The sequence below is a fragment of the Homo sapiens genome, chromosome 6 (genome assembly GCF_000001405.40).
Source record: "Homo sapiens chromosome 6, GRCh38.p14 Primary Assembly".
Classification (NCBI taxonomy): Eukaryota; Metazoa; Chordata; class Mammalia; order Primates; family Hominidae; genus Homo; species Homo sapiens.
This window is the reverse complement of record NC_000006.12, coordinates 89,286,093-89,300,151: the sequence shown is the minus strand read 5'-3', so window position 1 is coordinate 89,300,151 and position 14,059 is coordinate 89,286,093. Positions and strand designations below refer to the sequence as shown.

Sequence of the window (14,059 nt, the reverse complement as noted above, 5' to 3'; positions counted from 1 at the left end):
AACCATTTTCATCCAATTATAGCCTTTACCAAGGTAGAATGTTGTCCTGCCCAGGAGGGCATCCACTTTCAGAAGGCTCCAGAAGAACCTGGTCCTCAGGTCAGTCTACCTGTGAGGATCTGGCGTGTGTGTGGAGGGTCCTTCAGCCCTCCTTCTCCCCTGGGCCAAGAAGTAGAATGGAGAAAAGGTACCTAACAGGTAGATCTTGCAGGGAGTAATAGCCCAAATCATCTCACTCAATGCATTGAAGAGCCGATGGAAAATAGTTTCTTGCTTGTCTTCACAGTCACTTATATAAGAAGAACCTTGATGTGACCAAGATCCGGAAGGGAAAGCCTCAGCAGCTTCTCAGAGTGGACGAGCACGACTTCAGCATGAGACCCGCCTTCGGAGGTAGGACTGTTCTTCCTTGATGCCAGGTGGGAGGTTGGCCCCAGGGATGTGATGTGCTGCCCTCTCTGGCTCCCTCTGGCACAGCGCTTCCTCAGATGGTGCAATTTTCCCACTCACATAAATCTGACTCCATTTCCTGAGTCCCTAATTTTCCCAAGGAGAAAAGAGCAGGAAGTAGTGGAGAGGGCCGTTGACTAAAGAGGGCCCACCAGTGACTAAGCCATTTACATTCACAAAGGAGACAGGCCCTGCAGCTGCCAACTTTTTTGTCCTACAAATATAAGAGCAGGCAAGGAGAATCAGGACACAAAATAGCTCCTCTGTCATTTTTATAGAGGAAGAGGCCCATGAAGGCAGAGGTGCCCAGGATCCTCAAAAGTCCTAGTGTGGCCCTCCCTCTGCACTATTTTGGCATGTGTGTGTGTCTGGGTGTGAGTGGAATTCTGAACAAGGCATTGCAACTTTGTTGCCATGACTACCTGGGAGTTTGCTGTTTTGATGGAGTCACCTGTTTTCCAGTGCAGCAACAAGAGCTTAACTCATTACAAAGATTTCTTGCACACCTGCCCCCAAAGGTGCTCTGTTAGTCTTGGGGTCAGGGAGGGGAGGCATGGCCAGTGGGTGTCCTTCCCAGGAACTAGAGAAATGCTATGGAGAAGGTGGACAGTGTCTTAGTCAGTTCTGGCTTTCACACAAAACACCATAGATTGGGCAGTTTATAGACAATGGAAACGTATTTCTCATGTTTCCAGGGGCCGGAAGTAAGATCAAGGTGCCAACAGTTTCCATGTGTGCTGAGGGCCCACTTTCTGTTCATAGACGGTGCCTTCTCACTGTAACCTCACATAGTGGGTGGGGCAAGGCAGCTCTCTAGGGCCTCTTTTCTAAGAGCACTAATCCCACTGGTGAGGGCTCCACCCTCAGGATCTCATCACCTTCCAAAGGCCCACTTCCTAGTACCATCCCATTGCGGGTTAGGATTGCAACATACACATTTGTCAGGGACATAAACATTCAGGCCATAGCAGCTGGGAAAGGAATCAGTCATCTGCTCTGACTAGGCAGAGAGTGGGGTAAGAATAGCAGAATGTATGAGATCCCTGGGCCAACTTTCCTCTCCTCTTGGGGAAACTGAGGCACCAAGAATTTCAGTTGATGAACCTTGGCCAAGACAGACCCAGGCGGGCTGGCTTCCCTTTTTCCTTTTTCTCTGCCCTTGATCCTCTAGTAGGTCCTATCATTCTGGGGCAGTAAAAAGGAGTAGCTGTGACCTCCAGGCAGGTCACCAATCCTTTGAGCCTCCATTTGTTTGTTTATAAAATGGGGAGAGTAATCCCCACATATGGGGTTGTTGTCCAGATTAAACAAGATAATGTATGTAAAACCCCTGACAGACATTTGTTCCTGTCCCCTCTGAAAAACCCAGCTGCCAGACCTTCCTCTTGTGTGACTGTTAAGGGATTAAGAAATTAATTTATCCCAGAAGCCTATGCATTTTAAAAGGCCTCAAAGCCTCCCACTAAATTCCCTGAGCTCTGACACCTGCTAAGCAGAAGGAGAAAAGCAGGTGGCAGATTACAGGCCTGTGACTCATCTCCCTTCCAACCGCAACCTGATTGACGCCCACGGAAGGTCAAGAAGAGGCCACCATATTTCTGGTAGCTCTTGGGTTTCCTCGGGGATTCGTCATGGGCAAGCCTGCCAAGGAATTTTACGAAAATAAAGTTATACTAATAAGCAGCTTTAAAATAGCTACATCTGCTCCAGGAAGTCTAAGCAAGGCGTCCCCAAAAGCAAGAAGCTCCACTTTTCTTGCACAGCAACAGTTAAGAGCATAGAGGCGTACAGTGGCTAGGAAACACAATAACCAACAATAACATGCATGACAACTACCACTTTTTTTTTCGAGACGGAGTTTCACTTTGTCACCTAGGCTGGAGTGCAGAGGCGCAATCTCAGCTCACTGCAACCTCTGCCTCTCAGGTTCAAGCGATTCTCCTCCCTCAGCCTCCTGAATAGCTGGGATTGCAGGCATGCACCACCATGCCTAATTCTTTTGTATTTTTAGTAGAGACAGGGTTTCACCATGTTGGCCAGGCTGGTCTTGAACTCCTGACCTCAAGTGATCCACCCACCTCAGCCTCCCAAAGTGCTGGGATTACAGGCGTGTGCCACTGTGCCCAGCCACAACTACCACTTTCATAGGGATTTTTTTTTATGCCAGGCACCATTCTAATCAAGGTACATATATATATGTAATCTTATTTTAATCCTCTCATCAGTTCTACAAAGTAGATACTATTATTGTCCCCAGATGAGGAAACTGAGGCACAGAGAGGTGAAGTAAATGTCCCAGGTCAGCTGAGGTTGGACCCCCCTCCTAGCTGGGTCCCTTTCTTGTCTCCTACTTGCATGTCTTGGCGCAGAGCTGACATATTCATTAGGCGGCATAGGCACACTGCCTGGGGCCCACAACAAAATGTTTTTGCTTTATCTTAAAATAAGAAAAACAAACTTTTAAGCAGAAGTTGTTTTAATATATACTATTAATATGTTCATCATTAAACCAACACAATCATAAAATATGCTTTTTGATATTTTTTTATAGAGGAAGAGGCCCATGAAGCAAAAGTGCCCAGGGTCCTCAAAAGTCATAACGTGGCCGTGCCTCAGTGTGGTCTTTTGTGGGTGTGCACCGAGTGTGGGTGCTATTCCGAACAATGTGTTGTACCTTTTTACCCAAGGCTAGTGATGCTATCAGGAGCCTGGGCCATCACCTGGTCAGTACCTTCAGTATGTAGAAGAAGAGCCTGGGGTCCAAGGAGTTAGGTGATGGCCACCGAACAGCCAGAGGCAGAACTTAGGTTTCTTTTGTGACATCAGCTGCAAAAGCGAAAGCCTTATGAAAATGCTCCCACCAGGAGCTAGCTCTTGGAACGGCAGATGAAATCCTGCCATGTTCCCAGAAACCCTGACTCTGAGCAGAATGCTGCAACACGCCACAGTCCCCATCACGCTGCTCCTTCCTCAAGCCAGTTCCAGGAGGAAAGTGGACTCCTTGTGGTGTGACCACTGCATCTGCTGGGCCCTTCTGTGGGGCCCTCCAGAGCGTAGAGGGTCAGGACTGCTCCCTGCCCCTGCCTGGGTAAGCTTCTGACCCTGGGGAGGGCTCTGACTTTGGGGAAGCTGCTAAGGAAAGAGGCATCACCTTCCATAGAAGTCAAGATCTCAGCCACCACAGTATAGGTGGGGGCCACTCCTCCTTCCTTCCAAGCCTCCTCCCCATGGCAGTTGGTCCTCTGGGCACCTGTAATCTCCTGCAGGGCTTTCCTGGATGCCCAGATGTCACTTGGATGAAACGGGGGGAGGAGAGCACATAGTGAGGTACCAGGGCTCCCTGCCTCCATGAGTCCATAAATAAGACACCCAGAGTTCTGGCCAGCCAGGCAAGATGGGATGATCGCAGGACGGGGATTCCCACTGCTTGTGCTGTCAATGATCTTTATAACCTGAACCCTATGGGAGCATTTGAAGATGGCTTAGAGCCAAGAAACCTTCCCTGCAGGTGCTCCTGGGTGTCCCCATTTCACTCAGCACCTCATGGGCAGGTCTCTGTGAGAAAGGAGGCTGCACAGACAGCACAAAGGTGACTCTGTGCAGGTGATATAGAAGGTGTCTCATTCCCTGGAAGCAGCCCCTGACAGGCTTCTAGTTAGAAGTAGAGCCTGGGCCCCCAAAGTAACCAAAACAGCATGGTACTGGTACCAAAACAGAGACATAGACCAATGGAACAGAACCCACAGAAATAATACCACACATCTACAACCATCTGATCTTTGACAAACCTGACAAAAACAAGAAATGGGGAAACGATTCCCTATTTAATAAATGGTGCTGGGAAAACTGGCTAGCCATATGTAGAAAGCTGAAACTGGATCCCTTCCTTACACCTTATACAAAAATTAATTCAAGATGGATTAAAGACTTAAATGTTAGACCTAAAACCATAAAAACCCTAGAAGAAAACCTAGGCAATACCATTCAGGACATAGGCATGGGCAAGGACTTCATGTCTAAAACACCAAAAGCAATGGCAACAAAAGCCAAAATTGACAAATGGGATCTAATTAAACTAAAGAGCTTCTGCACAGCGAAAGAAACTACCATCAGAGTGAACAGGCAACCTACAGAATGGAAGAAAAGTTTTGCAATCTACTCATCTGACACAGGGCTAATATCCAGAATCTACAATGAACTCAAACAAATTAAAAAAAAATCCCATCAAAAAGTGGGCAAAGGATAAGAACAGATACTTCTCAAAAGACATTAATGCAGCCAACAGACACATGAAAAAATGCTCATCATCACTGGCCATCAGAGAAATGCAAATCAAAACCACAATGAGAGACCATCTCACACCAGTTAGAATGGCCATCATTAAAAAGTCAGGAAACAACAGGTGCTGGAGAGGATGTGGAGAAATAGGAACACTTTTACACTGTTGGTGGGACTGTAGACTAGTTCAACCATTGTGGAAGATAGTGTGGCGATTCCTCAAGGATCTAGAACTAGAAATACCATTTGACCCAGCCATCCCATTACTGGGTATATACCCAAAGAATTATAAATCATGCTGCTATAAAGACACATGCACATGTATGTTTACTGCAGCGCTATTCACAATAGCAAAGACTTGGAACCAACCCAAATGTCCATCAATGATAGACTGGATTAAGAAAATGTGGCACATATACACCATGGAATACAATGCAGCCATAAAAAAGGATGAGTTCATGTCCTTTTTAGGGACATGGATGAAGCTGGAAACCATCATTCTCAGCAAACTATCGCAAGGACAAAAAACCAAACACCACATGTTCTCACTCATAGGTGGGAATTGAACAATGAGAACACTTGGACACAGGTAGGGGAACATCACACACCAGGGCCTGTTGTGGGGTGGGGGGAGGGGGGAGGGATAGCATTAGGAGATATACCTAATGTAAATGACGAGCTAATGGGTGCAGCACACCAACATGGCACATGTATACATATGTAACAAACCTGCACGTTGTACACATGTACCCTAGAACTTAAAGTATAAAAAAAAAAAAGTAGAGCCTGGGCCCAACCCACCCAAAGTGCCGGCTCAGCCTAACACCCCCTTCCAGTAGCGCCCACCATACTAAGCAGGTCATTTGAGCAAAGATGTCCCTCAATATCCTCAATATTGTTGTGGACTATGTCCTCATTCCCATCTTATTTCTCCAAGAGGGACTTCCTGTGGAATGGTGTTTAAAAGTAGTTGATAGAGGCTGGGTGTGGTGGCTCATGCCTGTAATCCCAGCTCTTTGGGAGGTCAAGGTGGGTGGATTACTTGAGGCTAGGAGTTTGAGACCAACCTGGTCAACATGGTGAAAACCCATCTCTATTAAACATACAAAAATTTAGCCTGGTGTGGTGACACACGCCTGTAGTCCCAGCTACTTGGGTGGCTGAGGCATGATAATTGCTTGAACTCAGGAGGCAGAGGTTGCAGTGAGCCGAGATTGCGCCACTGCACTCCAGCCTGGGCGACGAGTGAGACTCTGGCTCAAAAACAACGAAAAATTATCGTGCTCAGACTATACCCCAGACTAATTAAATCAGAATCTCTGGGGGTGGGACCCAAGCACCAATTTTTTAAACAAAATATTTTTTAAAAATTAAAAGTAGTGGAGAGAGAGAGGAATCAGCTTAGGACTAGATACCCGTTGGGTGACCTTTTTAGTCTAGAAAGAGAAAAGATTAAAAATCTGTCAGCTTCCTAATAATCCCATGGATCAGTTGAAACAAAAATACCTTGTCTAAGCAACCAGCTGTTTGATTAGGTAGTATGCCCTGGTTAGAACCTCCAGGGGCACAGGGTTTCTCCTCCTTTTGTTGGGAGAAATGCTGCAATGCTGATTTTCTTTTATTTCTTTTATTTATCTGAGACATGGTCTCGCTCTGTTGCGCAGTCTGGAATGCAGTGGCAGGATCAGAGCTTACTGCAGCCTCAACTGTCCGGGCTCAGGTGATCCTTCCACTTCAGCCTCCTGAGTAGCTGGGGCTATAGGCGTGCACCAACGTGCCTGGCTAATTTCTTATATTTTGTGTAGAGACAGGTTTTCGCCACGTTGCCAGGCTGGTCTCGAACTTCTGGGTTCAAGTGATCTGCCCGCCTTAGCCTCCCAAAGTGCTAGGCATGAACATGAACCACTGTGCCCAGCCCTGATTTTCTTTTAAATTTCATTTTAAAAATTGTGGAGAAATATATAATATAAAATTGACCCTTTTGACCATTTTTGAGTGTACAGTTCAGTGGCATTAAGTATATTCACATTGTTACACAACTATCGCCACCATCCATCTCCAGAACTTTTTTCATCTCTCCAAACAGAAACTCTATATTCATTAAACAAGAATTCCCTATTTCTCTGTCACCCCTTCAGCCCCTGGCAACCACCATTCAACTTTCTGTCTCCATAATTGACTATTCTAACAACATCATATAGGAATTATACTACTTTTGAGTGGCTTTTATGACTGGCATATTCCATCTAGCATAATGTCTTCAAGGTACATGTTGTAGTATGTGATAGAATTTCCTTTTTTTAAAGGCTGAATATTCCACTGGATATGTATACCACATTTTGTGTATCCATTCATCTGTTGATTGACATTTGTGTTGTTTCTTCTTTTTGGCTATTGTGAATAGTGCTGCTATGAATATGGATGTGCAAATATCTGTTCAAGGCCCTACTTTTGATTCTTTTGGAAATATACCCAGAAGTGGGATTGCTAGATCATATAGTAATAGATGAGCATATATATATATATAGCTCATTTCTCTCTATATATGATATATAGATATATAATATATGATATATACGATATATCGTATATACGATATATACGATATATCGTATATACGATATATACGATATATCGTATATACGATATATACGATATATCGTATATACGATATATACGATTATATATGATATATACGATATATATCTGATATATATCAGAGATACGATATATATCTGATATATATCAGAGATACGATATATATCTGATATATATATCAGAGATACGATATATATCTGATATATATATCAGAGATACGATATATATCTGATATATATATCAGAGATACGATATATATCTGATATATATATCAGAGATACGATATATATCTGATATATATATCAGAGATACGATATATATCTGATATATATATCAGAGATACGATATATATCTGATATATATATCAGAGATACGATATATATCTGATATATATATCAGAGATACGATATATCTGATATATATATCAGAGATACGATATATATCTGATATATATATATATATATATATATATATATATAAAATTTTTTTTTGAGAAACCACCATGCTGTTTTCCACAGCGGCTGCACCATTTTACACTTCCACCAGCACAATGCTGGTTTTTAACTCAAACTGCATAGATGGGAGATACTGGAGGGATATAGTATCATCATGGAATTTTTTGAAATATATCCAAGGAGTTTGTCAGAATGGCCGGGAAAAAATGGAGACAACAAAGTAGGTCAGGTTCTCCAACCAAAATGATTTTTTTCATAAGACACATATGTATTTTTTGAGCTGCTGCTATGTGTTGGGCAGTCCTTGGCCCTAGCGACCCAGTAGGCAGCAAGACAGACATAGTCCTTGGAGTTTATGCTCTAGTTGGAAGGGCAGTTTAATGAAATCCTCATGTGGAGATACCAAATTGTGAGGGCCACTGGGAAGAAAAGGCTGGAGAGCTGTTGGGGTGCACAGCTGGGTCTGATCAGGGGCACAAGGGAAGGGCTGCCCTGGGGAAGAGCCGCCCTTGCCTGGGAAGCTCATACTATTGGAACTCTTTTCACATTAAATTACTTTGCATGAAATGAAATATTGTTCTCAAGAAGCTGATGGTCTATTGGGGGGAAACAGATAAATGATTAAGTGTAATCAAGTATGACAGAAGTGATGTAGGGTGTCTCTACTGATGGAGTAAGAGAAAGGAGGGAATGCTCAGTTCTGCCCCGAGAGGAGATTGCAGAAGCCTGCATCCAGGCAGTGACACCTGCAGTGAATCTGGAAGGATACCCAGTGTGTGAGCACCAGCGGTGAGGAAAAGGCAAGAAGAAGGGTATACCCCGGAGCAGGAAGCAGCGAAGTGTCAGGGAGCAGGAGCAGGTCCACGTGGCTGGATTATATCTAGTGTGTGCGTGTGTAGACAGGAGGGAGTGCAGAGCTGGGGCATACCAAAAGAAGGCTGGAGCAATGGGCAGCGCCGCTCTGGGAGGGCTTTGCTGAGTTCAGACTCTTGGCAGCACAGCCTAAGCTAAGGAGCAACAGGATGCGTCTTGGGCTTTAGGAAGCTCACTGTGGGCCTGTGTGGAGGAGGCTAGACGGGCTGAGGTTGGATGCAGGGCACGGGCTGGGCCCTTCAGGGATGCTCCAGGCCACAGCTGATGAGGGGCTGAAGACCACAGAAAGAAATGGAGGGACCTGAGAGATGCTACAGAGGGAAGAGAGCCAGGTCTTGGTATCCCACAGAATCAGAGGAACCTAGGGCACCTCCTGAGTGTGTGACCTGGGTGAGGCCATTCACTGAGATAGAGCACTGAGAAAAAGCAATGAGGAAAGGATATAGTAACAGGAAGCAGCTGGCATGCTCCAAGGGGTCATTGAAGAGAGCCTAGTGAAAGTGCGTTTACGGAGGCATGGGCAGGGTCAAGGGAAAGTAGCAGCTGTGGCAAAGCCCCAGAGGCTGCAAAGAATGTGGAGCCATTGCCAGGCCAGGCCTGAGTGTGAGAGGAGGAAGCAGTTACCTGAGCCTGGAAAAGAGCTGTAGCTCTTGGAAAAAGCCGCCCGATGGGAGCTGTGGCCTTCAAAAGAAGGATGCAGCCCGTAGCTGGGCCAAGAGCGATGCAGGAGAAGCCATTCCCCTCATCCTCCTCCTCCCTTCCGATACCTCCTGCCTTCTGATACCGACTGGCACTTTCATTGGCAGAACCAAGCAGGAGGTGGAGGGCAAGGACCTGTTGTCAGTGGCCACCTCAGACCCAGGCAAGAGGGGCCCTGCTCGGGCCCCACACCCGGCTCAGAGTGTCGAGTCTGTGAGGCTCAGGGGAGATTGCCCTCCTGCTTCTCCTGCCCTTCCCGGCCACACTTGGGCACTGGGCCCCAGAATCACTGTCTACACAGCCCTGAGCCTGCCTCCAGGGCCTGTGCATGCCTCTTTTCCAGGCGAGCCCCTGAGGGCACTGCTGCATTGCCTGTGCCTGCCCCTGGTCCTGAGAGGTGGCTGAGGGTGGCTGTTTCAAGGGGAGTGAATGGCTTAAATATGTGGGCAGGGTGACCACATGCATGCACAGAGGCTCTTCCCTGTGCAGGGACCTGCTGTGGCAGGAAAAGAAGAAAGGCAGCTCATGTGCTGGGCCCAGTCTGCCTGTGCTGGCACACATCAGCCTGCTACTCCCTGGAGTCTGCAAGTTCTGAAGCTGGACTGAGCCATTCTGGGCTGATAGGAAGGTGTATTTGTCAAAACAGCAGGATAGGGATATATATCATTTTACAGTTTGTTTTTAGAGACAGGGTCTCTAAAATGCTGATGGGCCTAATGGGAGGTGTTTGGGTCATGGAGCGCTACTTGGCACTGTTTGTTCTCTTGGTAGTGAGTGAGTTCTCACTCTCAAGAGACTGGATCAGTTCTCTCAGGAATCAAAGAGTCCCATAAGAGTAGGTTGTTATAAAGCAAGGTTGTGCCTTGGTCCCTGCACACACCCACTTCCCCTTCTGCTTCTCTGCTATGTTGTGACGTGGCACGAGGCCCTCACCAGAAGCCAAACAGATGTGAGTGCCATGCTCTTGGACTTTCTGGCCACCAGAATCATGAGCTAAATGTACTTCTTTTCTTTATAAATTACCCAGCCTCAGGTATTCTGTTATAGCAACACAAAATGAACTAAGACAAAGACCTTGTTGATTTTGCCCTCCTCCTCACCCTTCCCCTTCCCCTTCCAGATCAATCAAGTTATATCAATCCATCCATCAGACTGTAATTCAGATCTGTCCCTTATTCCCCTGCTCTGGCGTGCCCCCCATCCCTTACACCCATGTTCTCCACATGATCTTGGAGGGTGAAGGAATCCTAGCTGCGCCCTCTCTGAAAAAATCTTATCCTTAGTATTTAATTTAAATCAGAATTCAAATTCAAGTTAAATTCTCTCTTTAGGAAGTGATATTGATAAAGTTGAGAATATTGCCATCCCCCAACACCATGGCCTTAATCTTCCAGCATCACCTCTGGCTCTCCCATATCTCTTAGGCAGGTTCACTTTCCAAACACCCCTTCCTCAGCACTGCTCCCTCTGAAGCTTCAAGGCTTCCCTTGTTCTACAGGATGCAATGCAGCTGGATCTCGATACCTCTCTGCAGCCTGGCCCACTGCCTCCTCTGCTTACTTCCTCTCTCCTCCCAGGCAAGGCCTCTTCTCTCCTAGCATGCTCTCTGGCCCTGCACATCTGTGCTTCTTTCTGCCTGCGAGCATTTGTTCACAGCACCCCTCTGCATGGTCTTGCTCCTTCTGACGGACTCACCATGCCTAGAGCCCAGCTTAATCTCTTTCCTCTTACATGAAGCATCTCTCGGCTGTTTTGAACTCAGTATATGACCTTTTTTTCCTTTGACATCATTGATTCATTCTTTCAGTCACTTATTGATTAATTGGTTTGTTCACAGTGTAGTGATTAAAAACATTAGCTGGGCACGGTGTCTTACGCCTACAATCCCAACAATTTGGGAGACTGAGGCGGATCTCTTGAGGCCGGAATTTGAAACCAGCCTGGGCAACACAGTGAGACCTGGTCTTTATAAAAAAATAATTTTTTAAAATTAGCTGAGCTTGGTGGTGCACACCTGTAGTCCTAGCCACTTGGGAGGTTGAAGTGGGAGGATCACTTGAGCCCAGGAGTTCAAGACTTGGAGTGAGCTATCTGTATTCCAGCCTGGGCAACAGAGTAAGATGCTGTCTCTAAAAATCAAAATCAAAATAAAACATGGACACTGGGTTTCTGGTTATCTACTCCTGCATAATAAGCCACCCTAAGACAGTGACTTAAAATAACAGGCATTTATGTATTTGCTCACAAATTGGATTGACCGGGCTCAGCTGTGCAGTTCTCACTGGGGCTCTCATGCAGTTGTAGTCAGATGGTGGCAGCTGATGGGTGTTTTCATGCTTGTGAAAACACTCGAAGGTGTTTTCATGCTTGTGTCTGGTGCCTGGGCTGAAGACCCCAAAGCTGGGGCTCCTCAGGCATCCTGGCATCATCCCCCTTGCTCTCTCTCACTGGTTTCCTCCTTTCCTCCTTTTCCACTCTCTGGCTCCCCTCTCTCTGATCCCCTCTAGCCCTCCTTTTTTTTGTCTTTGCCCCCACCCCACCCCAGATGCTTTTCCCCATTGGTCCTCCCCTCTCTGGTTTCTCTGTGATCTCCATGGCAACTGAAGAGAAACCAGCAGATGGAAGTTTGCAGCCATCATCATTCCTGTTGAATTCTGTTCATTGAATTGATTACCAAGTCTCACCTAGGTTCAAGGGGAGGGGAACTAAACCTCATCTCTTGCTAGGAGAAGTGTTAAAAAATTTGCAGAGATGTTTGAAAACCACCACTCTGAGGCAATACTACCTTGGGAAGTCCAAACCTCAGCTCTGTCTCTCACTGTGTGGCCTCAGGCATGTTCTTGAGCCTCTCTGTTCCTTAATTGCCTCATAAAGTGGGGATAATTATAGCACCTGTTCAGAGGGGAGTTCTAAGAATTAAGTGAGTAATCTGTGTGATGTCTCTAGCACAGTACATGGCATATAGGAAGTGCTCAGTAAACAATATTTTTATTTATTAAGAATGTTCTGCATAACACAGGGCAGTGACTAAGCACAGGGCTCTGGAGGTAGACCACTGGGGATCAGCTCATGGCTGTGCCTCCCTCTAGCTGGGGACTCAGTCACCTTCTAATCCTCAAGTCCTCACCTGTGGAATGGGGGTGATATCAGCACCCACCTTAGCCAGCCGTTGTGAGGATGGACTCAGATGTCCCTCTGGAAGCATTTAGCGCAGCCTGGCCAGCGCAGCCAGTGTGTGCGAGGCGGCGATGGAGGTGGGGGTGCATGCAGCACTGCAAAGGCTCCAGACGCAGACATGACAAAGACACGGGCCCTGTTCCTGAGGAGCCAGTGGGCCTGTGCCTTCTCGACACAGCTCCTGGCTCTGAGGGTCTCTCTCAGGGCAAAGACTTGTACTGCTTCTTAGGTTTCTGCCTGGTTGCTTCCCCAGCTGGACTGTCTCCAATGTGATGCCTTCTGAAGAACTTTCTAGGGTCGTTCTGTCACACAACTTTCACCTTGCTGGCTACTTTAGCACCCAAGTGTGCTGCATTTGGGGTGCCCAGATTGTGAGCAGAGACCCTCGTGCCCCCTTGGCTCTCCTGGTGCTTTATTCTGTGGCCTCTTCCCTAGAGGAGGTTTGACCCCTGGACTACAAGTCACAGGATCCTGGTCAGCAGGGCCCCGGTTGCCGCGCCTCTGGTCCCACCAAGGCTCACGGAGCCGACTCAGAGCAAGGGCACTGGCTCACTTTGGGGCAGCAGCCTCCTTTTTGAGCTGCTTCTTGGACTCCCTGGCTCTGCCTCTCGTCTTCCCCACACTGGGTGAGGTTAGTGCTTCATTGCTACATTTTAGGAGAAATGGGATGGGGTACAGGAGCTGGAGAGAAGCTGGTCTTCTGGGGCTCCCTCGGGCTTCTTCCCAGGGGCTTCTACCCTTGAAGGAGGGGACACCTCTGACCCTTCCCCAGCTTCCCTCTGGAACACAAGCCGCAACCTGACACCATGACACGCTCCTACTTGCTCCTTCCATTAAAATTAAACTTCCCTCCCTGCCCTGTGTCCCACACAGCCCCTCCTCTGCAGCCACCCACCCTCGTGGCAGTCTCATTCCTTTGCCTGGTACTTAAGGACCCCATCTGTGTGGAGGTGACCATCGAGGTCACCATGCTCCTGAAGGACTGGGCCGCTGGGCAGTGGGGCAGGGCTGGGTCCCATTAGACAGGTCTGTCATAGTTTTTTTTTTTCATTTTGTTTTCTGCTTTGAGGTATAATTAACAAGTAAAAATTGTATATATTTAAGGTATACAACTTGATGCCTTGATATGCATATGTATTATAAAATCACCACAAACAAGCTTATAAATGTATCACCTCACATAGTTACCATTTTCTTTTGTGATGAGAATGCTTAAGGTCTACCCTCTTAGCAAATCCCAACTACTCAATACAGTGTTGTTAGTTATAGTCACATTGCTGTACATTCGATCACCAGAACGTACTCACCTTGCGTAACTGAAACTTGTACACTTTAATCAGTATTTCCTCATTTTCTTCATCCTCCAGTCCCTGGCAACCACTATTCTACTCTCTGCTTCTGTGAATTTGACTATTTTAGATTCCACGTCTAACTGTGATCATACAATATTTAGACAGGTCAAATTTAAGAAATTGGCCAGATATTCCCTGGAGATCTCTTGTAGGCATTGAAAAACATTTAGGCCATAG

The 14,059-nt window shown here is 46.6% G+C and overlaps 1 protein-coding gene across 2 annotated transcripts in view, besides 4 other annotated features; it reads left to right on the top strand.

Moving 5' to 3' along the window:
- The window catches only part of GABRR2 (gamma-aminobutyric acid type A receptor subunit rho2), a 60,836-nt gene that overhangs the window by 15,148 nt on the left and 31,629 nt on the right, over positions 1 to 14,059 (top strand). For both annotated transcript variants that reach the window (XM_047418599.1, NM_002043.5), the window contains exon 2: positions 287 to 393. In XM_047418599.1, coding sequence (XP_047274555.1) covers positions 287 to 393 — 107 coding nt within the window. The remainder of the gene's footprint in view (positions 1 to 286; positions 394 to 14,059) is intronic.
- Positions 1,433 to 1,502: an enhancer, noted in NCBI's record as "active region_24822". NCBI's record gives its function as "activates an Ori minimal core promoter by ATAC-STARR-seq in GM12878 lymphoblastoid cells {active_cell/tissue: GM12878}" and the evidence as "EXISTENCE:reporter gene assay evidence [ECO:0000049][PMID:35858748]".
- Positions 1,624 to 2,823: an enhancer, noted in NCBI's record as "BRD4-independent group 4 enhancer chr6:90007048-90008247 (GRCh37/hg19 assembly coordinates)". NCBI's record gives its function as "activates an origin of replication core promoter dependent on BRD2, P300/CBP, MED14 and CDK7 cofactors, and independent of BRD4, by STARR-seq in HCT116 cells {active_cell/tissue: HCT116}" and the evidence as "EXISTENCE:reporter gene assay evidence [ECO:0000049][PMID:35650434]".
- Positions 1,929 to 2,238: an enhancer, noted in NCBI's record as "active region_24821". NCBI's record gives its function as "activates an Ori minimal core promoter by ATAC-STARR-seq in GM12878 lymphoblastoid cells {active_cell/tissue: GM12878}" and the evidence as "EXISTENCE:reporter gene assay evidence [ECO:0000049][PMID:35858748]".
- Positions 12,126 to 12,215: a silencer, noted in NCBI's record as "silent region_17388". NCBI's record gives its function as "represses an Ori minimal core promoter by ATAC-STARR-seq in GM12878 lymphoblastoid cells {active_cell/tissue: GM12878}" and the evidence as "EXISTENCE:reporter gene assay evidence [ECO:0000049][PMID:35858748]".